Raw genomic sequence first — 26,722 nt, 5'->3', positions numbered from 1 at the left:
TCTCGTCTTAGACAGTCCTGACCCCACTTGTGTGTTGGGCACAACCCTGATCACAGTTGTCATTTTACCTGTTTAATCTCCTGCTCCTCTAGACTGGAAGGTCTTAGAGGGCAGGGATGTCTGTGATCTCTATCCAGGGGGACACTTCTCTTCATATCTGCCCATGTGCCCACCAACTTTGGATTTGCTATTCCTCCAGTTTCTCATTCTCCTAGTCTCTTGGCTTCAAGCTTTGCTTACTCCTAAAGACCTATCACTCCCTCTTTTCTGATGTTTCTCTGTGTCTGCCCCTACCCTTGTGTCCAGTTCTTGTCCCCTGTTCCCAGATTGCTTAGTAGCTTCCCAGTCCTGTTTTTTCACAGCACTGTCTGGCCTTTGCCTTTGCCTTATTGCCTGCAGAATGAAATCCCAGCCCTAGTCTGCCAGCCTTCATCCTCTCACACTCTCCCCCACCTCCACTCAGAGCCTCCCTTCAGCCACTAGGAGTTCATGGAGCACCCTTCCCTGGGTGTCACTCGTCCTGGTCCTCTTCCATTGGTCCTTTCCCAGTGGATCAGCTCCTTTGAACCTGGATGTAAGAGTCCCACCCGCCCTTCATCCCACCTCTTCTGTGGGGTCCTTCCAGCCCCACCACCATCAGCACCCACATCATCAGCACCCACCCTTCATCCCACCTCCTCCGTGGGGTCCTTCCAGCCCATCACCACCAGCACCCACATCACACACTCCTGGCTTGGTGCCTGACTGAGCTGTGTCATAGTGTTTCCATGTGAATGTACAGATGTGTCTCCTTAGTTCGACTGGCCAGGGACAGATTAAGCATGCCATTGTATCTGTTCCCGTGCTTAGGACAGCGTCCCGTGTGCAGTCAGCACTGAGATGTGTTTGGGAGTGATGCTGTGGTTGCCCACTGTCCCTCTACCATGGTGTGAGGCTGAGGAGAGGCCTGAGTGAGGGTTGACCAGGCCTTTATACCTTCAACCCTGCCACTGAAACTCTTCCCAAATAGTCATCATCTTATGTAGTTGCAAAGACTGCACTTGGCAGCTTCCTAAACCTGAACCTGCATTTAGTGGCTGAGGACGTGTCCTTACTATCACCATCACCACCCTGATCCACCACCCACAGGTCACAGACAGTGTCCAGGCCTTGCCCTGAACACCTGGGTTTGCCCTGCGGCTGTGTCACGATGGCCACGTTGTGGCCACACACAGGGAACTGAGTGTAGTGGGCCAGGCCGAGGCCAAGCACTTCCCAGAAAAACGGTATCTCCTTTCCTTAGAAGTCAGTAGGGAAAGAGAAGCAGCTATGCAGGAGCGGTGAGAGACCATGCTGGCTGTCATCCTTCACAAGTTTTCTCTGGTCTGAAACCTGCCTGCTGTCTTTTCGGATGTTTCCTCTCCCCTATCCAGAGTGTGGACCCCAGTGCTGGATGCTGAGCTCCTCACACTTGGGGTGTGGCTCTGGCTGTAGGAACAGACTCCGCAAAGAGAGTGGAAGTTTGGAGAACCCAGTATGCCCCCTGCCCCAGGTGCCATCCTCCACCTGCCAGAGATGCCCCTTCCCCTGCCCCAGGTCCCATCCTCCACCCGCCAGAGATGCCCGCTACCCTCAGGCCTGCAGCTGGAAGTCTCATCCATGCTTCCTGTTTTCTTTCCTGCTCAGCTGCCCAGGCATTGGCCCAGAGTGAGAGGAAGCGCCATGAGCTCAACAGGCAGGTCACGGTCCAGCGGAAAGAGAAGGATTTCCAGGGCATGCTGGAGTACCACAAAGAGGACGAGGCCCTCCTCATCCGGAACCTGGTGACAGGTAAGGACCCTCTGTGCCACCCTATGCTGCCTGCCCCTCCTTCAGCCCCCGCTCCCATCTCCATCCCCAGCACAACCCCCACACCCCTTCCTTCACCTCCTGCACAGCCCCCACCCTCTGTCTCCTACTTGCCCTTGCACCTGCCCCCATCTTCCACTCCCCACACCTACTCTCATCCTCCCCCCAGCTCCTGCTGTGTCCAGCTGCTATTCTCGATGGCAAGACCCACTGCTTCTTTGTTCTGCCCATACGATGGAAGTGGGAGGGGAGCCACCCACATGCTTTTCCTCAGCAGCAGCCACAGCCCCCTTTCCTTGGTGCAGCTCTCTGCAGGCCACAGTGCTTTGGCAATGATGGAAGCTCATGCTTTTGGAGCACATCCTCTACCAGACTCATCCCTCCTTTAATCCTCACAACCTCCCTTTAAGTCAGAACTGCTGCTTTCTCATTTTACACTGAAGGAAACAGAGACTCACTCTAGTAACTTGCCCAGGTCACACAGCTGGGAAGCAGTGGATCAAGGATTCAGACTCCTTCTGTTTGGTTAGGACTTTACAGTTTAAAGTGCTGTGTGGTACAGCACATGTGGGTGTGGTCTCTGGAATCACATGGGCTGTGTTCAGACCTGGCTTCTTTCCTAACTAGCCGCACATGGCCGTGGCTGTGCTACTCACCAGTGTTCTTGTGTAGAGCACAGGAAAGGGGATCATGCCGCTGGCATGGAGTTGTGAGAATGAAAGTTCGTATTTCGTTGCTCATACATGGTCCCTGGACCAGCAGCATCAGCATCAGCATCAGTATCACCCCTGGGAAGGGGTGAGAGATGCAGAGTCTCGGGCTCCGTGCCAGGCCTCCTCAATTGCAAGGCACATAACAAGATGCCAGGTGACATTCACAGGCTCATTAAAGTGAGGAATGCTGAGCTTCTGCAGTCTGTCTGGGATCACCCTGGTCCCACTGTCAAAGTTCATCAGGGTTGGCTTTTACTGTCCCTGCGATCATCTGCAGTTTCTTATCCAGGCATGTGGCTGAATCAGGGCTGGCCTGCCAGCCTCCCACCCCCATGTGCTCCCTGGGGCCACCAGGCAGCTGTGAGAACCACTGCTCAGAATTCCTTCCCCAGCTGGGCTCCTAGGACTGAAAGACCTTCCACACTAGCTGCCAAGAGGGCAGGGTTTTCTCTGTGAAAAGAGGAGCCCCCGCCACCCCTCCGAGTCCCTCTTGGCTGCTCAGCAAGGGCCAGGAGGGAGTCTGTGTGACCTGTGCAGCTTGCTCAGGTTTGTGCCCAGTGCTGCTTTGCCAGTCGTACCAGCTCCCTCCCCTCCAGTCTTGTGCCCCATCTGCCACAGGCCACTGCAACAGGCCACCTCCCTGCTCTGTACCAACCCAGTCCAGCATCCCCCTGCAGAGCCAGGAAGAGTCTTAGAGGAGAGAGTCCTGTGGGAAAGAGGAGAAATCTTTGGTGGTCTGATCCTCTGGACCCTGAGCCAGCAGCTCCCTTCTTTATGGCACCTTAGTGAAATGGGATGATGACACTGACCTGCCTGCCCCATGATGTGAAGTGTGTCAAAGGCGAAATGCTGTGTTAAAACTGCAAAACCCTTCTCAAATGTGAGGCTTTCAAAGGAGTGGTAGCTTTTGCAGGAATATTTGAAGTTCAAATAAGAGGCAAGGCAAGCATTATTTTAGAGAAACTTATGTAAGACTGAAGTCCGACTCTGCTGAGCACTGTGCCTAGGGCCGAGGGACCCAGGAAGAACAGATTGTGACATCTGCCTTAAACAGATTTGCTCCAGCTGTTTGGTTTGTGTGTTTTTAGTAGCCTGCTTCTTAGATGTATTTTGCTCTTTTAAAAAGCTTAATCTCCCCTACAGTTGTCCAGCAATTAATTAAATGTGGTGTAAGTTTATCTTAAACTTCCTTAAACAGACTGCATCTTGTTCAAATGCAATTAGGAACAAACCTTTCATCTCTGGTGAATGAAACTTTCAATAAATAAGGCTGCTTGTGTCAGACAGGTGGCTCCCTCCTGCCATTTGCCAGGGTTTTTACAGAGAAAACCCTGCCATCAGCATGAGATGACCCTTGCTCAGGTGGCCCCAGGAAAGGTCATCTCCTGCTGAGCTACCTAGGAAAATCCTGCAGTCATCTTCCCTCCAAAAGACCCCATCCAAACAAATGCCAAAACTTGACTGCCGACCACCTACCTCTTAGGTACCTGGCACTGGCCAGTTGCTGTGGAGGAGAAATAAAACTAGTGTCATCGTCTCTTCCCCAAGATGCTAACATTTAGCTGGGGCACCCAAACAAGCTTTATTTAATCACAATAGAACATTCCAAGACAGGACAAGTTGTTTGCAATCTGCACATGGATCAGGTTTGAAGTAAGAAGTTATGGATTGGAAGTCTGGGCCTACAAAATACATTTTCCTGGATAAATGACTGGCATTCTAACTAGAGCCAATGGCCAATCCACAGCCATCTGCTGGACCTATAAAATGGCCAAATGTCAACCATGTACTCAAGAGTATTATGGCCTACAGTTATCATTTAACTAGAAGGATGCGTTGGAGCAGGGACAATGTAACCCAAGTACCAACTGGAGCTGCTGGCAGCAGAGCCCAGCCCAGGACCAGCCTGGTAGAAGGTTTGCAAGGATACTGCCCACCTGCAGGTGGGAGGGAGGTGGCCTCCCTTCATTGCCATTCTGAGCCTACAGGTGGCTCATGAGGCCTCGTTTGGGAGGGTATGAGTGTAAAGAACAAGGGCTGGAGATACAGTGCAGAGCTATGGTGAGACCCCTGGGGCCTTGTGCTCCTGCCCCATTCTCACCTGTCATCTTGCCTTTGCACCAGGCCTTTCCCCCTAGTTCTCTGGCCTTCTACCACCACCTGTTGCCTTAAGTCTGGCTCAGCTGGCATGGTCTGGAATAGAAAATGGTCTGACAGCTGCTTCCTGTCCCTCCAGGGCCTTTTGCAAGAAAGGGCCAAAGGGCTGAGTCTGCAGTTAATGGGGAGACTCACAAGGCCCTTCCAGTCCAGCCAGAGCAGCCCTTGCCCAGGCAGGGACAGGAGTGTGGGATACAGAGGAGAGCAGTTGGGGGAAGTAAGAGAGCCGCTGGAGAGATGCATGCCAAGCAGCAGCACCGGGGTGGGGAAGGGGGGCCTGCCTGATCTATTTGGCTGTGAAGCTGGGCAAGCACGGCTGGGTAATTTGTTCCTGAACTGATGGGCCAGAGATTGTTCCAACCTCCCTAGCCCTCAGCAGGCTGGCCCTGTCTTTGGGCACATACAATTTGTCTAATTCTGGAGCCAGCCCTTGCCTTCTGGAAGTGGTGGTGCCCACGAATCAGGAGTTCCTGCCCCCATGTGGGAGCTAGGCCCTGTCCTCAGCCTTCCACTTGCCATGGGCCCCTGTTGGCTGCGGACTGAGGCATCTGTGTAACTTGCAGGCACTTTTCCTCCATATTGTTAGGCTGAGGCATTAGAAGCCTGTTTCAGGGTTATAGTGCAGACAATTAGGAATGTGGTTTTGTTTGTTTGTGTTTTTAACCACAGTGTCTGAAACTACTGGTAGGCATGCTCGGGAGTTTGGGTACCCTGGGTGGCTTCTCTCCCAATCCTCTTTGAGACATCTATTCCTAGATGAGCTATGGGGAAATATTGAAAACACGTCTATTCAGATGAGGATTCTGACAGCCTCCATTGTCCCCCATAGATCTAACTTGCCATTTGCTGCTCTCGTTGCCCTTAGACTTGAAGCCCCAGATGCTGTCGGGCACAGTGCCCTGTCTCCCCGCCTACATCCTCTACATGTGCATCCGGCACGCGGACTACACCAACGACGATCTCAAGGTGCACTCCCTGCTGACCTCCACCATCAACGGCATTAAGAAAGTCCTGAAAGTAAGCAGCCCCTGCAGAAGGTCATGGTTTGTGGTGGGTAGAGTGAAGCCAGCCCCTTACTGTTGCTTCTCTGTGTCTGGGTTTGGCTGTAGTGAATGCTCCTAGGGCTCCAACTTTGAAGGTAAATGAGCCACAGAAGCATCCATATAACCAGGATGCCTGGCAGTTCCCAGAGAAGGATGCTCAGGCCCAGCAATGGCAGAAAGCCGAGGACTCTGGTGTAGGTAGCCCTCCAGCTCCTCCCTGCTGAGCCTCCAGACATGCCCAGTGCTTACAGAAGCCTTGGCCTGCCCACTGCCAGAGGTGCTAGGGAGACATCCTGCTGCAGCCAAGGGTGTGTGGGCCTCACCCTGGAGCAAGTTCAGGGACACCCCTGAAACATGGGCCCTCTCCACCTTTCCAAGGGGCCGGGTGCTTGCTTCCCTGGGGGGTAACACAGGGAGGGCTGTGACATTCCATCACCTCCCAAGGTGAGGCAACCTGGGCCAGGACAGGGCTTGCCGCATGGTGTTAAAGGTGCTCGGGAATGCCACCTGAAGGCACAAGGCTCTTCTTGAATGTAGTGCAGCCACTGCAGAAACAGGCTGGCCTGCAGGGAGGGTGAGGCCTGTCCACACATGGATGAGGGCCAGGCAGTGGGGGAGGTGAGATTCTTGAGGGAGATGAACCCTCAGTGAGAGGGATTTCTACCTGCTAGCAGGCCTGTGCCCCGAGTATTATTGCTCTTAGAGACCATCTTTAGTTCTTACACATTACTGCTTCCAGGATACAAGCCATTCTCAAAAGCTCTGAGTCCAAACCAATTCTGGAGTCCACTGAGCTGCTGGTTGCTGCTCAGAATTCCAGAGCCAGCCTTTAAGTCTGGTTTCCTGCCCTCAGTAGCTGCATTGCCCTCCACAGGCAATTTTATCCACTCACGGCTCTAAAACATATCTGCATGCTCGTGGCTCTCAGATTTGTGTCTCCAGCCTTGATCCTCTTTCGTGAGCACCATCCAGCTGGAATCTTCGGCCAGTCTAGGCCAATTTAGGGCTGACACAAATGTCACTTCCTTAGGAAAGCCTTCCCTAATTCTGAGCTAAAATAGCATGTCCCAGCCCCAGCAGTCACTTTCTATTCAACCTCATTTCTTTTTTTTTTTTTTTCTTTTGGTCGTACCTCATACCACTCTGTCATTTAAATAATGATAACGCTTACTTGACAGAATGAGCTGCGTGAAGTCATCAGCTTTAATGCAGCAGCTGTCTCATAGCTGTTTGGGTTGCTGAGCAGGCTTTTTCACCTAGTTAGGGTTTGTAGCCATTTTCTAGAGAGTTAAAGCCATGATGCATCTGACATCTAGATAAATGGGACACCAAACTATTTTGCTGTTATGCTCTTCAGCATCCCTTGTGTTGGATAACTGGCAGTTCAGAAACAGAGCCAGCTAGCCCAGGCGGTTAGACGAGAGCCCGGGGCTGTTGGGGCAGAGCCTCATCTGTCACTCAGCTTTGCATTCATTCTTCAGCCATGGAAGGCAGCCTGTCCTTTATGTGTGTCCCTGTATGTGCACCACTGATCAGGAGACCAAGGTGGGGGTTCTGTGCACCATCCCTGGTGGTAGAGGAACACTCACACAGCCTCTCAGCAATGGGTCTCAACCCCGTGACTGGCAAGTGCCCTGCCCAGCCTCAGGGCTGCTCAGGAACACTAGGTAAGGGTAGGAAATGTGGGGAAAGAGGTACCGAGGAAGCATTTCACCAGATGGGAGCCACTTAGAGCTGAGGATGTCCTTTTCTTTTCACAGAAGCACAATGATGACTTTGAGATGACGTCATTCTGGTTATCCAACACCTGCCGCCTTCTTCACTGTCTGAAGCAGTACAGCGGGGATGAGGTGAGTGGGGAGCCAGGCACCCAGGAGGCATTCCTGCTTCATCCAAATGTGGTTGAGAAGTGCTTTGTATACCCTCAGAGGTCAGTGGGGTCTTTGGAGCACCCTTGGGGACCTCAGACCGTGGGCACACCTTATCATGCCTCGTGGCTGGAAGCAGCAATAAGGCCAGCCACAGGAGACCTGCCTCTAGGAGGCCTTGATGAGCCCAAGGGGCCCCAAAAAGCACTCCTGGGTTATGTAAGTAGAGTCTGCATAACCCATGATCAATAGAGGCCCTGGGAGTCTCCATGAAACTCTTGTAACCTGACATTTCTGTATCAGCTCTAGAAGCCCCACTGCAGTGGATACTGGCAGGGAGCTCAGTTGCCTAGTGGGTCACCCTGTCTCCTAAGCCAACTGATTAATCTGTCCATTTCAAGATAGACAAAGATGGCCACAAGAACAGAGGCACACCATAATCAGAACTACGTGTGTGCAAACTGACCTGGAGGCCCAGCTCCATGCATTTATCCAAATTGGATTCCTTGACCTGAGGCCCAACTACTAACCCCATCACTTCACAATCCACACCGGACCTGTAAGGCCCAGCTTTTTCTGGAACTCACATTCCTAGCTTTGGTCCCTGAAAGAACTTCTCCCATGCTCTGCACTCTGCCCAATGACCTAGTAATATGTGGCTTGTTTCCATTCTAGTTTCTCTGGTGAGAATCCCAGCTTGTTCCAGATATGCCCGCTCACAGGTTCCTGTAGGTCTTCCAACTTTTCTTCCCCTTCCTTTCACATATCTCACCATCCACCCTTCCCAAGGTCAAGACATAGTGTAAACCAAAATAGTGCGACCATTTTTAAAGCTTTATTCCATCTTTTGTGCCAGAACCAATTTTGACAGACTCTTCTCCCTGGGTTAGTAAAAGGATATGCCCTTCCTTTCAGTCTTACCTTCTTTGCAGTTGGCTTGACGCCATCTCTCTCCTAAGAACCAGCACTTCATTTGATGGCCTGCTTTTATTATAAAAGAGATGGGCCAAAGGTTAAAGAAATAGCCATTTCAAACCCCATGACTTCTGTTACAAAATCATAATATCCAAGCATTTACTTGAAGCATAGAACTACATGTAATGTTATTTCATTGAGGTCCATCACTTTACCCAATGTTATACACATTCTAAATGGGAGGTTATATAAGGCTAGGGCAGGACCTAGAACTCCATTACATTAGGTTGTGGTTACATGTGCTCATATTCTCTGGGTCAAGAGCTGAACCACAGCATGACCAGATCCGTGTAGTCCAAATAACAAGGAAGAATGATTGACTCTATCTTCATCATTACAATTATCCCCTTTTCTGCCTGCTTTTTTTCATATTAAGATGGCTTTGTATTTGACACAGTACAACAGGCCTTGCTGAAGATGGTTGCCCTTTTGGGAGCACTAATCTTTTTGGCAGATACTGGTTTCCCTAGGCCTGAATGAAAAGGACATTGGTCACATGAGCCCTTCTGATATCAGCAGTTCCCTTAACTTACATGTGATTTCATCTGATTAATACAGAAAGCTAAGAGGACACAGTGCGGTAGCTATGAAATCACTTTAGTTCATCTATTAATTCTGATAACCAGTGATAGAATCTGTATAAAATTTCTCCTCATACAAGCGTATAATCTGGCCCATGGCCACACTCCTTTAGAGGCTGCACATCATCTAACATTTTAGGGGGACCTGATATATTGAGGAAAGCGCTGGATGAAGGGAAAAAGCAGGGATCCCTTTCTCTGGACCTGGTACCAACCTAGGTTTTGCTACCGTAGGGAAATCACTTCGCCTCAGGGATTTGGACTGAGCGATTCAGGCTTTCTCTCTCATGTTGAGTTTTTCTACATCCTTCAAGTTCAAGGGTCATCAATGAGGCCTCAAAGAACTGACAGGCTTTTGTAAAACATCATCTACATAGGGAGGGCCTGAGTAGGCCCCCTGCCCACCAAATAGATGACTAAAGTTACCAGAGCCCTGGAAGTTGTGCTGGGCCCAGCAGACCAGAGAACTCAGTAGTGCACGCCTCTCCCTCTGCAGGGCTTCATGACTCAGAACACTGCAAAGCAGAATGAACACTGTCTTAAGAATTTTGACCTCACCGAATACCGTCAGGTGCTGAGTGACCTTTCCATTCAGATCTACCAGCAGCTCATTAAAATTGCCGAGGGCGTGTTACAGCCGATGATAGGTAAGCTGGCAGCAGGAGAGCTACATCACTCATCATGGTGTCTGAAATGAGGGGAAGGCGTGGTCAGCACCCTCTGCCTTTCGGGAACCAGATATCTTAGCCATGACCTCCAGAAAGCCAGAACCTTCCAGTGAAGGCAGAACTGAGGTGTGCACATCATGCTTAAAAAGCTGTGAAAGTATTTGACACAGTGCAAGAGGCATAGATGACTTTCCCTTTATCTCTTTTTCTGTAATATGTTGTATTTTTTCCCAAATTTTAATACATAATAAATGTAAACTCAAAAGGTACAAATGCATATACAGTGAAAAAGCATAACCCTCTTAACCTATTATGAACTTGATTCATGGAAAAAAGCAGGAGTGTTCATGCGAAAGGACACAGCAGTCGGCACGATGCATCAGTATTTATTAGACACTTGCTTTGAACCAAGCAGTGTACTTGGGCACTGAACATGAAATCAGAATTGAGAAATGAGAGCAGTTACATTTTCAATCGGAAGAAAAATTATGTGTAGATGCATTACTCACTGTGCTCTGCAAAGGCTGGGAAGGAAAGTGTACCTGGACCTATTCATAATGCTTTCCCCAGGTTCTTACAACACAAGTAGGTTATGAGTGAATCCCAAGAAGGACCAATCTAGAAATACATTACTTGAAATGAGGTTCATTCCAAACCCTCCTTCCTGTCTGGAAATCTTTTTATAAGGCACCAGACAGAGGGAGAACTGACATATCAAGCTGGAGATACTCAGAATAATGTGAAGGTTAATAGCAGCAGTTCTGGAGTCAGACAGACTTGGGTTTAAATCCTGGCCCTGCCACTCCCTATCAGTGTGACCTCAGACAAGTTATTTAACCGCTTTATACCTCAACTTCCTCATAAAAATGGGTAGTACTTTATAGAGTTGTTGGAAGATTGAAAGAGATACTGAACATAAAGCCCCTGGTGCATAGGTAATGGCTGCTTAGTAAGTATGACGGACCAATGAAGCTCTTATTTACATAGTCAGTGGCTGGACGAGGATGACACCCAGGTTGCTCAATTCTCAAACTGTGGACTTCAGCACAGGCGATACCAAATCGAGCTGGTACATGCCCATCATCTTTGTCTAATTGCCAGTAAATTAAATGAAAATGCTGTCCACAGCTGTTTTATTCCATACAGAAATCAACACATTAGAAATTTTTTGCCAAATGTTATAAGTTCCTAAGCATGTCAACATTGCACACCTCTGGATGGTATCATTGCTAAAGCCCGGAGCACTAAATGATTTGAGTGGTCCAATCTTTGCATTGTTAGTGGGGAATGCAAGCTTCTCTAACTGTGCTTTTATTTCAGTTTCTGCCATGTTGGAAAATGAGAGCATTCAGGGTCTATCTGGTGTGAAGCCCACCGGCTACCGGAAGCGCTCCTCCAGCATGGCAGATGGGGATAACTCATACTGCCTGGAAGCTATCATCCGCCAGATGAATGCCTTTCATACAGTCATGTGTGACCAGGGCTTGGACCCTGAGATCATCCTGCAGGTATTCAAACAGCTCTTCTACATGATCAACGCAGTGACTCTTAACAACCTGCTCTTGCGGAAGGACGTCTGCTCTTGGAGCACAGGCATGCAACTCAGGTAAGGGAGGAGCACCCCCCAACAACACAGATAGAGTGGGCCCTCACTGACTGCAGCTAGAATCAGAACACAAGACTGCTGTTTCTAAAAATGAAATCCAAATCTAATTGACAGTCCTTGTCTCCATCAGTCTGTGACTCAAATCCATCACCTTTTTACCTGTTGGTGAAATCCGTCGAACACTGAGATGGTTGACTTGGTAAACAAATTAGTTCAAAGCTTAAAGATGTTGACATACTCTAAGTTAAAGACTGAATACAAAGCAGATAGGTCAGAGAGAAAACTCAATGAGTTAAGAGGCATGAAGGCTCACATAGAAGTATAAATACATTTGTGAATGTTAAATATAAATACTTACAATTCAGTATATTTAATGCCTGTTTTTCCCTGTTAACTTATGTAGACACTTCAGGTATTTCATCTTTGCTTGATTTTAAGTACCCACTCATTCATTTATTCATTCTTTATTCAACAAATAGTTCCTGAGTGCAAGGCACTTGCCATGCTTTTTAACCGTGTGAGATAAATAATGGCACTAGCTGCAGCGGGCCTGCAAAACACAACAGGTGTCCCCTTCTCAGTGAATTAGGAGGACCGGCTTAACATAGCTTGCTTTCTACCTATGGCTAAGGTACAATATAAGTCAGCTTGAGGAGTGGCTTCGGGGAAGAAACCTTCACCAGAGTGGAGCAGTTCAGACCATGGAACCTCTGATCCAAGCAGCCCAGCTCCTGCAATTAAAGAAGAAAACCCAGGAGGACGCAGAGGCTATCTGCTCCCTGTGTACCTCCCTCAGCACCCAGCAGGTACAGTCACTTTGCACCTCTGTCAACATGGTATTCCAAGGAAGCCCTGAGTCCATTCCAAGTCTGTTCTCGTTGGTGGTTATTTGTTAGTGTTGCACTCCCACCCTTTATATACCCCTAATGAGACAATTTTGAAGTGCAGCTGATGGGATATTCCTAGATGAACCAAAAACCATTTGGTCTGTGAAACAAGATGCCACAGATACTGTTTTCTAGTAACTCTCTATCCCTCTTACTCACTTAAAAAGATAAGGTAGCAAACTCACAAAACGTTAAGTTTAGGTAAAAACTTCTTTAAATATAATGAATTCTGGAATGTTTCTTACATAGAAATCCACAAATTTTCAGAAATTGGCAGCATCAGGTATTTGCTTTCTTTACAAATATAACTGTAAGAAAAACCTTTTCTTTAAAACTAATTGCAATATGGTCATATTTTCACTCACACTCATTTATATTGTTTTAAATGAAGTCATTAAGAACTTAGGGGCATTTAAGTGTTACTTTCCTTTTCCCTAAAAAATGTATAACCATGATTCAGTTGCCGACACATTGCCAGTCCCTGAAAGATAAATAACAAAATCCAAACTCAGTACAGAAAAACACATCTTAATATAGCAAAGTGAACACCTTTCCTTACCTCCTCTGCTTACTATTAAAATATTAAATATCTAACTCTTTAAAAAACTGCTTCCTTCTGTAAACATTTCCAGAAAGTCTTCAAACATTTTTCTTCTCTTTAAATACATTTCACTTAAAGTAAGTTTCCTTCTAGATGCAGCTGGCATTGCATTTGGGCAGTCTACTTCCACCAAACCAGTGGTAGGCAGACAAAAGAGTATCTCCTGTTCAAATACTCATTTGTAAACAATGTTGGGGGACAGGGGGTAGTTAGGTATTAAACAAGACCTTTCTCATCTAAGGTAAGATCTCCAGTACTCTTCAGAAGAAACCTTTAAATTACTAGTAGATATGAGGCTGAGGATTTCAGGCAACTGCATTCTAAACTCCTCATTGTGTATACCAATGAGCATAGTGGGGAGGGGCAGGTGGGTTTACAGGAGACATGAGTTCGGTGAGAGGGCTCAGATCCACCTGACAAAGCTGTGGGCTCTAGTTTCCTGGATGCAGGCTCCAAGTGTAAATGTCAGTCCAGCTCCATCTGTGTTGTGGGCCTTGTCTAAAGAGGATCATACTCTTGTACCAATGTCACATATTCTTTAAAGTTCAAAAGTTGTCTCATGTTCATTTAGCTCTGTGCTAAATTCCGTTTTTATCCCCAACAGATTGTCAAAATTTTAAACCTTTATACTCCCCTGAATGAATTTGAAGAACGGGTAACAGTGGCCTTTATACGAACAATCCAGGTGAGTTTTAAGATAGTAATTTTATAAAGTCCAGTCTACGACTATAAAGGAAATTAAAAATTTGGGCTTTAATCTTGCTTCTCTTTATTACTAAAATACTGGTTACATATATGCTGGGAGACCTTACATTCCTAGACTTTCTACTTAGGTAAACATGAACCGTATCACCCATGAGTAACTTACTGTTTACACACAGAAAACTCAACTTTTATCATCTCTGCCTCTCAGATTATAGACATAGTTTAAGCATTATGTCATTTGCCACTAGCATGTTACTGAACTATTAGCACCAAATGGAATTAACAATGTCAGCAGAATATCAGCCCTAACCATAAATGGAACTAAGAAATGTTCTTTAAAGAAAGCAATTTGAGCTCTTAAATCTTTGTCTAAGACTTATAATATAGGCCAGGTGCGGTGGCTCACTCCTGTAATCCCAGCACTTTGGGAGGCCGAGGTGGGTGGATCACGAGGTCAGGAGATCAAGACCATCCTGGCTAACACGGTGAAACCCGGTCTCTACTAAAAATACAAAAAATTAGCCGGGCGTGGTGGTGGGCGCCTGTAGTCCCAGCTACTCGGGAGGCTGAGGCAGGAGAATGGCGTGAACCTGGGAGGCGGAGCTTGCAGTGAGCCGAGATTGCGCCACTGAACTCCAGCCTGGGCGACAGAGTGAGACTCTTGTCTCAAAAAAAAAAGACAATATTTGCTTTTAGGAAAATGCTTGAAAGAAAATGTATTAGGGAAAACGGTTATTTAAATCTGTCTTTTCCTAAGATGATGGGAATGTTTTACTTAAACATGAGCTTCCTTAAGCTGAGCCCAAGGTGATGGCTGAGCGCCTGACCTTTGCATGTGATAGTAACTGTGACAGTGTTGGAATGATAGTCATGTCGCAGTGATTCAGAAAACAGGCCACACTTCTCCCATGATTACCTGTGGGGAGCACCTCAGGGGAGACATAGCACTCCCTCAAACTTTTAAATGACCTTGTTGGCCAGTGAAGGGATATTGACACAAAACAAGGATTAAAAAGGGGTTCAGGGGGAAGTCATCAGAGGGAGAGTCAGGAAAAAGGGAACCAAATGGAGGTTTATCAAAGACACTGAAGAAACGTGAGGAAACATGGAGCTTTGTACAAGAACCTGTTCCCTTTGGAATACTCCTGGGATTTTATTTGGAGCTCCTTACAGTGTTTCAATGTAGATCCAGAGATTTAGAGAGCCCTGAAAAGAGCTAAAAAGGGGTTTGAAAAGAGCCATGGCAAAAAAAAAGCCTAAATGAACTTTAGCCCAGCATCTAAGTAGGGAACAGAGGCCAACAGAGGGAACGTCTGGGAAGTGGTGCCTAGTCAGACTAAAGGTTGTTCTCCTAAGGGCAATGACAGAAACACAGTCGATTGTTAAAGACACAGGCCGCAGAATGGGGCAGGCAGAGTGAGTCTCTCTACTCACCAACATGTATACAACAATGGGGTTGTGGGTGGCGCTGACAGAAAGGATCCAGTTAGGATGCTCATAGTCAGCTGCTGAATGGGAAGAGTTTGATGACAGAAGCCACTGAGATATCTGAACCTGGACCCATTATATGGATTTTTATGGAGGGCTGATAATTTATACAAAAGTGCAAGTTTAGAAAGTCTTGTTTAGTTTCGAATATCTGAGACACACATTAGAGGGAGAACTATAACTGCTCATAAATTGGCAACCCCACTGTTTATGAGAATTCAGGTTAAAAAATATATGCCACATCATACTGCAGGTTTAATGGATCAAGGACAAAGGGAAAATATAATGGAGGTTAAGCCCAACTATTCTCTCAAAATATGTACAGTCAGATTCTGAATCTTCCTCAGTAATCAATTTCAGTGTCTCGCAGTTCTAGCAAAATATTTTTTTCATGAGCTATAGCTTTATGTTGTTTCTACCTATACAATGCTCAGAAGAAATGGTGAACAATCAGTCCTGCCCTCCTACATTTGAACTCACATGTGTGATAAAGACAAGTTACTTGTTAAAGCAAACCATTGCTTGGGCGCTCTGGGCTTTTTATAGCTTTGTACTGACCTTTAAAAATGTAAATTTGAAGTTGTTAAACTCACCAAAGCATTCACAGGAGGATTTCTGTGAAATGACCACCTTATATACTTTAATTGATTAAAAGTATACATGCCTTTTGCTGTTGAATTGTGATAATATAGGTAATATTTCACTTTCTTTTCCCATTTTTATACTCTCTAAAATTTCTTCAAACCCTTTAGGTAGTGAAGTCTACTGTCACATCTAACTAATGTGGAGAAATACAAGGGCCCTTAAGTGCTACAAAGATGACTTTTTTTCCCAGAGCCTCCTGCCATTTCACATTTTACATACATATGCCTTGTGATAGGTTCATGATAATAAACGCAGCAAACCTCAGAGTGGGCTGTGTGTGAGCTGTCAACAATCCCAGAGAATCATTCTGCCAGGCCACACCAGAGCCATCATTGAGTACCTTGAATTAGTGAGGCTAGTTGCTTATTCCTCCCTAAATACCTTTCTCTCCTTTAAACTTCTCTCCCATTATTTCAAACCACTTTTTCAAATGATTAAAATTACTTTAAAATTTTGGCCCATCTTTCAAGATGCCAAACACACGGGTACTGGAAATTTAAGTCATGCTTTCTATTCATAATTCAGGTAATGGATGAAAACGTGGGCAATTCTAGGTTCCCCTGCCACTATAGAGCCATCTTACAGTGCCATGCTCCAGCTGACTTCATTCTGTAAACCTATTTCCCAGCGATTTTCAAATGCTGCTATGTATTTACTGACTATGGCCTGTTTCGAGGTTTAAGAAAAATAAATTGTGTTTTCACAAAATCAGGATATATTGATTTTCCTTTTTGGCAATACTCCCACAGTTAACCCTATTGACTTTTGTAAAAGTACAGCTTCTACCAGCAGTTCATGGTTCAGAGGTCAATGGTTAATGCATGGGCAGGAGGAACAAAGGAGCATATTATAAAACTGATAACAGCAAATACAGCACTTACTATGTGCCAGTGATGGTACTCTGTGTTCTTTACACCTGTTAACTCTTCAAATCCTCACAACCTTATCAGAAGGGTACTCTTCTCCATCCCATGGTTTTGGGGTATGTGTGTTCCATTTTAACCATTTTTAAGTGTATAGTTCCGTGGCATTAAGTATATTCACAATATTACATAACCATCACCACTATTTCCAAAATTCTTTCATCATCCTAAACAGAAACACTACCCATTTGGGCAAATAATATTCTCCCTTCCCTTCAACCCTGGGTAGGCTTCTATATGTAAATTCTAGATATCACATATAAGTTGGCTCATACGATATTCTTTCGGGTCTGGCTTATTTCACTTAGGTTCTCAAAGGTCATCCATGTTGTAGCATGCATAAAAACTTCATTTTTTTAGTGACTAATATTCCCTTTATATATCCCATTCTGTCTATTCATTGGTTGATGGAAACTGCACTGTTTCTACCTTTTGGCTATTGGGAATCATGCCGCTATGAACATTGTTGCACAAGGAGCTGAGATCAATTTTTCAGTTCTTTGGGGCATATATTTAGAGGCAGAATTACTGGGTCATATGGTAACTCTATATTTAACTTTTTGAGGAATCTGAAACTTTTCCACAGCAGCTATACCATTTTACATTCCCACCAGCAATGCATGAGAGTTCCAGTTTCCCCACATCCTCACCAACACTTGTGATTTTCCAGCTTTTTAAAATTATAGCCATCTTAATGGGTGTGAAGTGGCATCTCATTGTGGTTTGGATTTGTATCTCTCTGATGACTAGCATCTTTTCGTGTGCCTATTGGCCATGTATATATCTTCTCTGGAGAAATATCTATTCCAGTATTTAATTCATTTTTAAATTAGATTATTGTCTTTTTGATATTGAGTTGTAGGAGTTATTTGTATAATCTGGATATTAAATCCTTATCAGATATGATTTGCAAGTATTTTCTCCCATTCTGTGGGTTGTCTTTTCACTTTCTTGATAGTGTCCTTTGATGCAGGAGTTTTAAATTTTGAGGATGTCCAATCTATGTATATTTTTTTGTTTCCTATGCTCTTGATGTCATTTTTAAGAACCATAAATACTTTCCCCTATGTTTTCTAAGAGCTTTGCAGATTTAGCTCCCTTTAAGTTTTTGATCCATTCAGAGTTAATTTTTGTATATGGTATAAGGTGAATGTCCCACTTCATTCTTCTGTATGTGGATATCCAGTTGTCTCAGCACCATTTGTCAAAGACACTGCCCTTTCCCTCATTGAATGGACTTGGCACCCTTGTCAAAAATCAATTGACCAAAAATATGAGGGTTTTTTTTTTTTCTGGGCCCTTATATTCTATTGGTCTGTATGTCTGTCCGTATACCAGTACCATACTGTTTTGATTCCCATAGCTTTGTAAAAAGTTTTCAAATGGGAAGTGTGAGTCCTCCAATTTTGTTTTCCTTTTTTTTTTTTTTTTTTTTTTTGAGACAGAGTCTCACTCTATCACCCATGGAGCGCAGTAGTGCAATCTTGGCTCACTGCAACCTCCGCCTCCCAGGTTCAAGCAATTCTCCTGCCTCAGGGAATATAGGCATGCACCACCATGCCTGGCTAATTTTTGCGTTTTTAGTAGGGAAGGGGCTTCACCATGTTTGCCAGGTTGGTCTCAAACTCCCAACCTCAGGTGATCTGCCCACCTCAGCTTCCCAAAGTGCTGGGATTGCAGGCATGAGCCATTGCACCTGGCCAATTTTGTTATTTTTCAGGATTGCTTTGGCTAGTCAAGATCCCTTGAAGTTTGATATGAATTTTAGGATTTTTTTAGATTTCTGCAAAAAACGTCATTGGGATTTTGATAGGGATTGCACTGAATCTGTAGATTGCTTATGTAGTATTGTCATCTTAAGTCTTCTAGTACATGAACATGGGGTGTCTTTCCATTTGTTTAGGTCTTGACTTTTTCAGAAGTGTTGCACCTTCTTGGCTAGATTTATTCCTAAGTATTTTATTCTTTTTGATGTTATTGTAAATGGAATTGTTTTTCTTTCTGATTATTCATTACTAGTGAATAGAAATACAACTGATTTTTATGTGTTTTTTTTTATTATGTACTTCGCTGAATTCATTAGCTCTAGCAATATTTGTGTGTGTGTGTGTGTGTGTGTGTGGATTCTTTCAGTTTTTCTACATGTAAGATATGTTGTCTGCAAGAGGATCATTTTAAATTGGCTGCCTCTTATCTCTTTTCTTGTATAATTGCCCTGGCTAGAACTATACTGAATAGAAGTGGTAAGAACAGGCATCCTTATCTTATTCTTGATCTTAGAGGAAAAACTTTCTGAGTGTGATATTTGTGATGTTAAATGTGGGGTTTTTACATATGGTCTTCATCATGGAGGGATTTATCTTTTTATCATTAAAAAAGTTGGATTTTGGCAAATGCTTTTCTCCATCGATTGAGATGATGTGGGTTTTTTCCTCTTCATTCTGTTAATGTGGTATATTACATTGATTGATTTTTATGTTGAACTAACCTTGCTTTCTGAAGGTAAATCTTGCTTGGTCATGGTGTATAATCCTTTTAACCTTTTACTGAATTCAGTTTGCTAGTATTTTCTTGAGGGCTTTTACATCTGTATTTATAAGGGATGAATATAGTTTTGTTTTCTTACAGGGTCTTTATCTGGCTTTGATATTAGGGTTATACTGGCCTCATAGAATGAGTTAAAGTGTGCCTTCCTCTTTGATTTTTAGGAAGAGTTTGAGAACTGGTGTTAATTCTTCTTTAAATGTTTGATAGTCTTCACCAGTGAAGCCCATCTTGGGCTTTCCTTTGTTGGGAAATATTTAATTACTAATTCAATATGCTTACTTGTTATAGGTCTATTCAAATTTTCTATTTCTTCTTAAATCAGTTTTGGTAGTTTGTGTGTTCCTGGGATTTTGTCCATTTCATCTAGGTTATCCAATTTGTTGGTGTTAAATTTTTCATAGTATTCTCTTATAATCCTTTTTATTTCTGTAAAATTGGCAGTAATGTCCTCACTTTCATTTCTGATTTGCTAATTTCTCATTTTAGTCTTCCCACACACCTGTAATCCCAGCTACTTGGGGGGCTGAGGCAGGAGAATCACTTGAACCTGGGAGGCGGAGATTGTGAGCAGAGATCACACCACTGCACTCCAGCCTGGGTGACAGAGCAAGACCCCATCTTAAAAAAAAAAAAAAAATTGTCAATTTTTTGAACCAACTTTGATTTCATTTGTTTTGGGTATTGATCTGTTCTCTATTTTTTCCATCTAATTTATGTTATTTCATTTCTTCTAGGTTTAGGTTTAGTTTGCTCTTTTTCTGATTCCTTAAGGTATACAGTTAGGTTATTGATTTGAGATTTTTTTTTTTAATGTAGACATTTACAGCTACAAACTTTTTAGCACTATGTTTATCCCATCCCATAAGCTTTGGTTTATTATATTTTTATTGCCTAATTCCCCCTGTGATTTCTTTAGCCCATTGGCTATTTGAGAACTTATTATTTTCCATATATTTGTGGATTTTGCAGCTTTCATTTATTGATTTATAGTTTCATTCCATCCTAATCAGAAAAAATATTTCATATGGCTTTAATATTTTTAAATTTATTCAGACTTGTTTGAATATTGGAGACTGTTCCATATGCATTGAGAAGAATGTGTATGCTGCTAAGTGGGGTGTTCCATATGTGTTTGTTAGGACTAATTGGTTTATAGTGTTGTTCATGGCCTCTATTTTCTTATTGATCTTCTATCTGGTTCTATCCATGATTAAAAATGGGGTATTGAAATGTCCAACCATTACTGTAGAACTATCCTCCCTTAAAGTCTGTCAATTCTCCCTTCAAATATTTTGGGGTTCTGTTGCTAGATGCAGATGTTTATTATATCTTCTTGATGAGTTGAACCTTTTATTAAAATATAATGTCCTTCTTTGTCTCTGGAAATGACTTAATTTCTCCTTCATTCTTGAAGGGTAGTTTTGCCAGATTTAGAATTCTTAGCAGACAAGATTTTTTCCTTTCAGGATTTGAGCTGTGTCATCCCACTGCCTCCTAGCCTCCATGGTTTCTGATGAAAAACAGCTGTTAATCTTATTTGAGGATACCTTATACAGTCAGCCCTCCATATCCACAGGTTCCATATCTGCAGATTCAGCCAACCACAGATTCAAAATTCAGTATTCACAGGATGCAGAACCTGTAGTTATGGAGGGACAACTTTTTCTATCTATAGGTTCTACAGGGCCGACAGCAGTACTTGCATATCCATGGATCTGGGTATCTGTGGGAATTCCTGGAACCAATCCCCCATGGATACTGAGGGATGACTGTATGTGACAAGTCACTTCTTTCTCACTGCCTTCAAGACTCCCTCTTTGTCTTAGGGTTTTGACAATTTAGTATAATGTGTTTCACTGTGAATCTCTTTGCCTTTATCCTGCTTGGAGTTCATTGAACTTTTTGGATGATTACATACATGTCTTTCATCAGATTTGGGAAGTTTCTGGCATTATTTCTTCAAATATTTTGTTGCCCCCTTCTTGCTCTTTTCCTTCTGGTACTCCTGTAATGTGTATGTTGGTATACTTGATGGTGTCCAATAGGTCTGTTAGGCTCTGTTCATTTTTACCTCATTATTTTTATTTTCTTCTCAGACTGGATCATTTCAATTGCTTTATCTTCAAATTCACTGATTTTCTTCTGCCTGCTCAAGTCTGCGGTTAAACTTCTCTAGTGAATTTTTCATTTCAGTTTTTGTACTTTTCCTAAAATTTCTGGCTTCAAATAGGAAGCAGGGAGGGGCTCTGTGCCTTTAAATTTTCCAGTTGATGCCACTAGTGGAAGCCATTGCATCCCAAGGAATGTCTAAACCAAGACAGGCATCTGCTGGGACCCACCAGATCAAAGGGCACAACCCCAAATTTTTGGAGGACAAGGTCCCACTGCCTACCCTGGCCAGCTAGCTACTCCAGGAATGTGAGCTGCTATCCCCATAGCTTCAGGGGAGCTGAAGAGAGGGGGATAGTAGCTGGGTCACACACACAGTTCCCTTAGCAAAGATCAGCAGCCTCTCCCTTTACCAATCAGTCTCCCGATTGTTATAAATGTCCAATCAAGTTCCAGAGTTATGAGATAGTTGACAATCACTGTTTCTACTTCAAGGTAGCTTCAGTGGAGGGACCAATCCCTAGGGCTTCCTACTCTGCCATTTTATGTGATGTACTCTTCTCCCATTCTACAGGTAAAGAAACTGAGGCATAAAAAATTCAGGAATTTGCCCAGGGTGGTGCCAGGATTAGAGCTCAGCTGTCTACCTAAAAAAAAAAACCCATGCCCTTGGCCACTTCACTATAGTGCCTCTCCATATGGTTTGCACCTGAGATGTATTTTATATTCTCCCTTAGACAATTTTTTAAAGAATGCTAGAATTGGGAGAGTGCTTACAGCCCTCTGATCTCCAAGAAGCCTAAGTCAGGGCTTCTCTCCCCACTAAATACCTCAAGGGTGAGGAGATCACATTCTCCTAGTCCTGAAGTTCTACCTAATTGTCGTAGAAATCTTTCCATGATATATGCCAACTCACTTTTGTGAATTCACTTAAACTGGCTATTTTTAGGGGTACTCAAACTTTACATGGTCTTATTCTTCCCCATAGGCACAACTACAAGAGCGGAATGACCCTCAGCAACTGCTATTAGATGCCAAGCACATGTTTCCTGTTTTGTTTCCATTTAATCCATCTTCTCTAACCATGGACTCAATCCACATCCCAGCGTGTCTCAATCTGGAATTCCTCAATGAAGTCTGAAGATGCATGTTTCCAGCATTAGTTTGATTCCCAATGTGAGCAAGAAGGAAGTATATACAGTAAAGTAAATTCAAGGATCTGTTAAATCTGGTAAAAGTAGATCAAATCAGAGATTGACAGCCTGTGGAGGGTGCTGAACTATACAGAATTAGACACAACTATGTCATTATTTTTTGTACCTACTGCTCAGAATAAAAACACTTGAAATATGGAAGATTTTAAGTTTGATTTCAGTCCAACACATATACATAATTTATAGACACCAAGCAGTCCCCATAGACATATAAAAGGTGTCAATTCTATAAAACGAAGCTGCCTAGTTTTGATCTTTGCATAGAACTAGAGAATGTCCAAATTAAAATACCAAATATATATAAGTCACATAAATTGCCTTCAAAGGGCTTTAACAAATAATGGTACTAATAACCATGATAATGGCATATACTGACATTTCCCAAAGTTTGCAAACCATAGGTGTGGTTGAGTTTGTGGTGAGATGTTTTAAGAACAAAAATATGGGGATGAGACTTCTGAGAAATATTCCCAAAATATTTTTTAATGGCTGATTATACACAGACAGTGGTGTAACTGACCTCCAGACCAGACATTTTGAGTACTGGTTTCTGAAGCAAAATTAGAAGTGCCAGTCCTCAGTGTGCTCAAACGCTTTTGTGTTATCTTGATTTAATGGAAGAGATTATTAAAATGCTGCTATCCCAAACTCCAAGTGAGAAAGATGGAAAAATATTTTGTTTCTGATGCTAGTCCATACACTTTCCAAGTCCCACAAAACTTTCACAAAAATGTATATAAGCTAAATATTAGAAACGGATAACAAACTTGTTTTATTTATAGATGTAAAAACCAAACAAGTCAATATGAAAGCTTTTAATCTCTTAATACCATTAAGCTTCCAGTAAGAGCATCACATAATGCTCTACTGTTCCAGAAACCAAATAGTAAAACAAACTAAAGTTCGCACATCAGATCATCTGAAAAACCTTCAAAAATAATCAGTTCAGGGATATTATACAAAAGTTTGGGTTTTTTTTTTTTAAGAGAATAAAATGGCTTAGGTCAACTTTCCCTTTTCAGGTTATTTTCAACGTTTTTCAAATTTAGCACACAAAAAATTGTAAATATCTCTCCCACAAAATAAGGATTTTAAAAAAGTAATTCAGTAATATAACAGGCTTAGATGTTTGCTGCTCTTAGAATTTTTTTTAACTTGTTTTTGGTTTCTTCAAAAGCAAGCATTCAATTGGAAACCCATATTCTTTCCACACTTTTTTTTACTGTCTTTTCTGTATTTCTTGATAGCAGTATGCTGTTCCCATAAGAAAAAAATGGTATTTGCAAATCATGGAAGAACAGCCTCTGTATTACATTGAGAAAATAAGATTTATCCATGAATTGGAAGTAGAACAGCCTGCCTTCACCCTCTTTTACTCAACCACCCAACTTAAAAGGCTCTTGGAAACACAGCACACTCCACGCTACCTTCTGCACTGTGCCCTTAGAGCACAGCTTCCTCAGTTGTTCTCTGCATCTCCTGGGGCTTAGGCCAGTCTTAGCCTGGGTTAAGGCTGCTGACATTGTGTTCCAATCAGTTGTCATGGGCATTATCCCCTCTACATCCACATTAAACATGCCGGCTTCTCTTGGGCATCGGCAGAGCTGTGCCTTTTTCTTTCAGTTACAGTTACATAATCACTGACGTCCATGACACTTACCCATGGATCCATGTGCTGACTTCATTTAGAAGGCCAATCTAAAACAACTGGGTTTGTGGCTACCTCTTTAAAGTTGTTTGTGAAGGATAATTTGTTTTTTAATGCACTTTAGTTTGAAAGTGAGTCTCTTATGTAAGGACCATCCTTAAAAGACCAAAAATGCCTTGTTAGAGTGTTAAGGAGTTTTGACATGCAGTGGTTCCACAAACACAGTGGCTTACTATCCTTATACACTGTCTTATACCATCATTCTCTCCATCTCTCTTGGTCACTACTCTCTGCTGTCACTGGTTAATCACTAGGTGCCAAGAGCTTACTGAATAAAAGCTTGGCAATTAGAATAAATGGGGAGGGAAGGACCTTATGAATAGTCCATTTAGCCTAAGAAATGGCAGATTTAGTTCTTCTCTTCCAAAAGATAAAGGTATATCCTGGAATTGTACTTAAAACTTACAGATGACTAACAAATATATACTTTATATGTAGTTAATATTTAGATCTGTCTTATTTAATACTTGGAGGCTAGAAGAAGCATCTTTAGGGGAACTATATAATCTTTTGTTAGCATTTTCTCTGCATTTTAAAAAATCATTTCAATTCAAACATTTATCAGTGTCATGAAATCAGTAATGACTCTTTAACAATTCAGGTTTGAACTCTGCATTAGATGTCTCTTTAATTTTTTAATATTTAAAATTTAGTTGACATTTTTTTCACCAGGTGCCTTTAGCGGTTACTAAGATAACTGACATCAGTTGTTTCTCTGAAATAAGTGTTGCTGTGGGAATAATTTTAATGTTCAAGGTGATATCATGGGGGAGTTTTGTCTTTTAAAACATTAGAAGCATTTTAAATATTAAGAATCAAATATTTATAGATCAAAACTTGTGTTTTAAGTATTATACGGGACCTGTTTACTTATAGTAAATGTGAATGTACACATGAGTTGTTGCTGAAGCTGACAAGCATATTACATACATGCATTTTCCCTGTGCCCTCATAGTTGCAGTTAGAGTTCCAGTACCTGTAGGCTCACCTGGGAGGCAGATTAGACCCAAAGGTAGATGTTTTTCCCCTTTCCATGAAGCATGTCAGTGGGAGTTGCTTCCTTTGATTTCCCTAGTACTAAATTTTAAGGCTTTTGTAAAAACAAAACAAAACTAGGAGCTTGGAACAGTTAAAAATCAACACTGCTACCATCAATTCATCAAATATTTACTTAGAGCTTTCATACATTAAGATTCCAGTAACCAATAAATTAGAATTCATTTCTTCTGCATAAAGTAAATTTTCATACACTTGACCTACTAAGACAGCAAGGGTGTCCTAAATTGAGGCATTTGTATAATGCCTGCATAACTAAATGGTCACTAAAATGGGACAGCATGGGGCAAGACCTTGTAGTTCTTCACAGAATATTTGTGGTCAGTTTCTCCAATTAATTTGCTGCATGAGCCAAATAACCATAATTCACTTTTTATACCCACTGGTGCCATAATTAGAGAATTAGAGGGTGTAGACAGAGGTTAATGCCAATGAGAAACACAGGACAGGGTTTTTTTTATTATAAAGGTCATTAGATACAAAAGATTGTTTTTCAAAAAATTTCTAATTCTAACAAAGGGGATCAATCAGAAATGAAACTAAGCTACTTTCTAAAGTGACACTGTATCAGAATAATCCAGATTTGAATATAACATTTTGCCACCAACTGACATTTAGATGAAGGACTGCCTCTCTGAAAGAGTTCAGATCATATTCAGGGGTGAATCCAACACCATGGAAGAAAGACTACTGATGAAAATATTTTCCCACTTTGCACAAATCTGTAAACTACACCTTTGTTTATAGAAAAATGCTTGTAATAGTCACTGTAATATTTAGCTGTGGATAAAAATTTGTGGAAATAAATACTTTTGAATAAAGAGGTGTGCCAAATCTAAATGAAATTTAAAACTCTGCAGCTACAGGTTGACAAAGTTTCTTTGTAATGCTCTCTTGAGAAGCTTCATTATGGGGCCTATATTCTAATACGTGTCAAGATCATTTAAACCAGAGGTCAGCATCTTACAGTCCAAAAGTTGGGGGCAGGGAGAAACTCTCAGATAACAAGGCTTATTGAGCAATTACTTTAAAGCTATGGAATTAAAGGCAGTTTTGGTGTAGGCAAAGACAAGTAGATCAACGAAACAGAATAGGGAGTGCAAGGATAGGCCCAATCCTATGTATAACATAGCATACGGTAGAGATGGCATGAAAAATCAGTGGGGAAATAGTCATAAGATCTGTATGGAGGAATTTGTAAAATATAAGTGAAAAACAATGACAACATTAAAATGGAGAAATAATTAGGTACAAGAATTCGAAGACTCCATACCACTAAAAGTTTGTCAGTTGTCCCCAAGTTGATCTATAGATTAAAAATCAAAATTTCAACTGTTTCTATGTGAAAACTGACAAGCTCATTATAAGATTTATATGGAAGAGCAAAGGCCCATGAATAAG

General features: G+C 42.7%; 1 protein-coding gene and 1 long non-coding RNA gene across 2 annotated transcripts in view, besides 2 other annotated features; one reads left to right on the top strand and one right to left on the bottom strand.

Annotated features, from left to right (window-relative positions):
* The window catches only part of MYO5B (myosin VB), a 372,359-nt gene extending 346,193 nt beyond the window's left edge, over positions 1-26,166 (top strand). Inside the window, exons 33-40 of the mRNA NM_001080467.3 lie at positions 1,666-1,809; positions 5,563-5,714; positions 7,501-7,590; positions 9,661-9,811; positions 11,153-11,438; positions 12,070-12,244; positions 13,531-13,611; positions 22,332-26,166. Of these exons, the coding sequence (NP_001073936.1) occupies positions 1,666-1,809; positions 5,563-5,714; positions 7,501-7,590; positions 9,661-9,811; positions 11,153-11,438; positions 12,070-12,244; positions 13,531-13,611; positions 22,332-22,484 (1,232 nt within the window). The 3' untranslated portion in view covers positions 22,485-26,166. The remainder of the gene's footprint in view (positions 1-1,665; positions 1,810-5,562; positions 5,715-7,500; positions 7,591-9,660; positions 9,812-11,152; positions 11,439-12,069; positions 12,245-13,530; positions 13,612-22,331) is intronic.
* The window catches only part of SNHG22 (small nucleolar RNA host gene 22), a 37,037-nt gene that overhangs the window by 2,105 nt on the left and 8,210 nt on the right, over positions 1-26,722 (bottom strand). Inside the window, exons 2-3 of the long non-coding RNA NR_117096.1 lie at positions 9,591-9,679; positions 8,530-8,592 (exon numbers count right to left, since the gene is read on the bottom strand). This is a non-coding gene — a long non-coding RNA (small nucleolar RNA host gene 22). The remainder of the gene's footprint in view (positions 1-8,529; positions 8,593-9,590; positions 9,680-26,722) is intronic.
* Positions 1,781-2,282: an enhancer, noted in NCBI's record as "H3K4me1 hESC enhancer chr18:47373043-47373544 (GRCh37/hg19 assembly coordinates)". NCBI's record gives its function as "activates a minimal SCP1, AML or CMV promoter by ChIP-STARR-seq in naive H9 embryonic stem cells {active_cell/tissue: H9 hESC(naive)}" and the evidence as "EXISTENCE:reporter gene assay evidence [ECO:0000049][PMID:30033119]".
* Positions 3,005-3,506: an enhancer, noted in NCBI's record as "H3K4me1 hESC enhancer chr18:47371819-47372320 (GRCh37/hg19 assembly coordinates)". NCBI's record gives its function as "activates a minimal SCP1, AML or CMV promoter by ChIP-STARR-seq in primed H9 embryonic stem cells {active_cell/tissue: H9 hESC(primed)}" and the evidence as "EXISTENCE:reporter gene assay evidence [ECO:0000049][PMID:30033119]".

Source organism: Homo sapiens, chromosome 18, assembly GCF_000001405.40.
Source record: "Homo sapiens chromosome 18, GRCh38.p14 Primary Assembly".
Classification (NCBI taxonomy): domain Eukaryota; kingdom Metazoa; phylum Chordata; class Mammalia; order Primates; family Hominidae; genus Homo; species Homo sapiens.
Note: the sequence above shows the minus strand (reverse complement) of the source record. Positions and strands in the feature narration are given on the sequence as shown.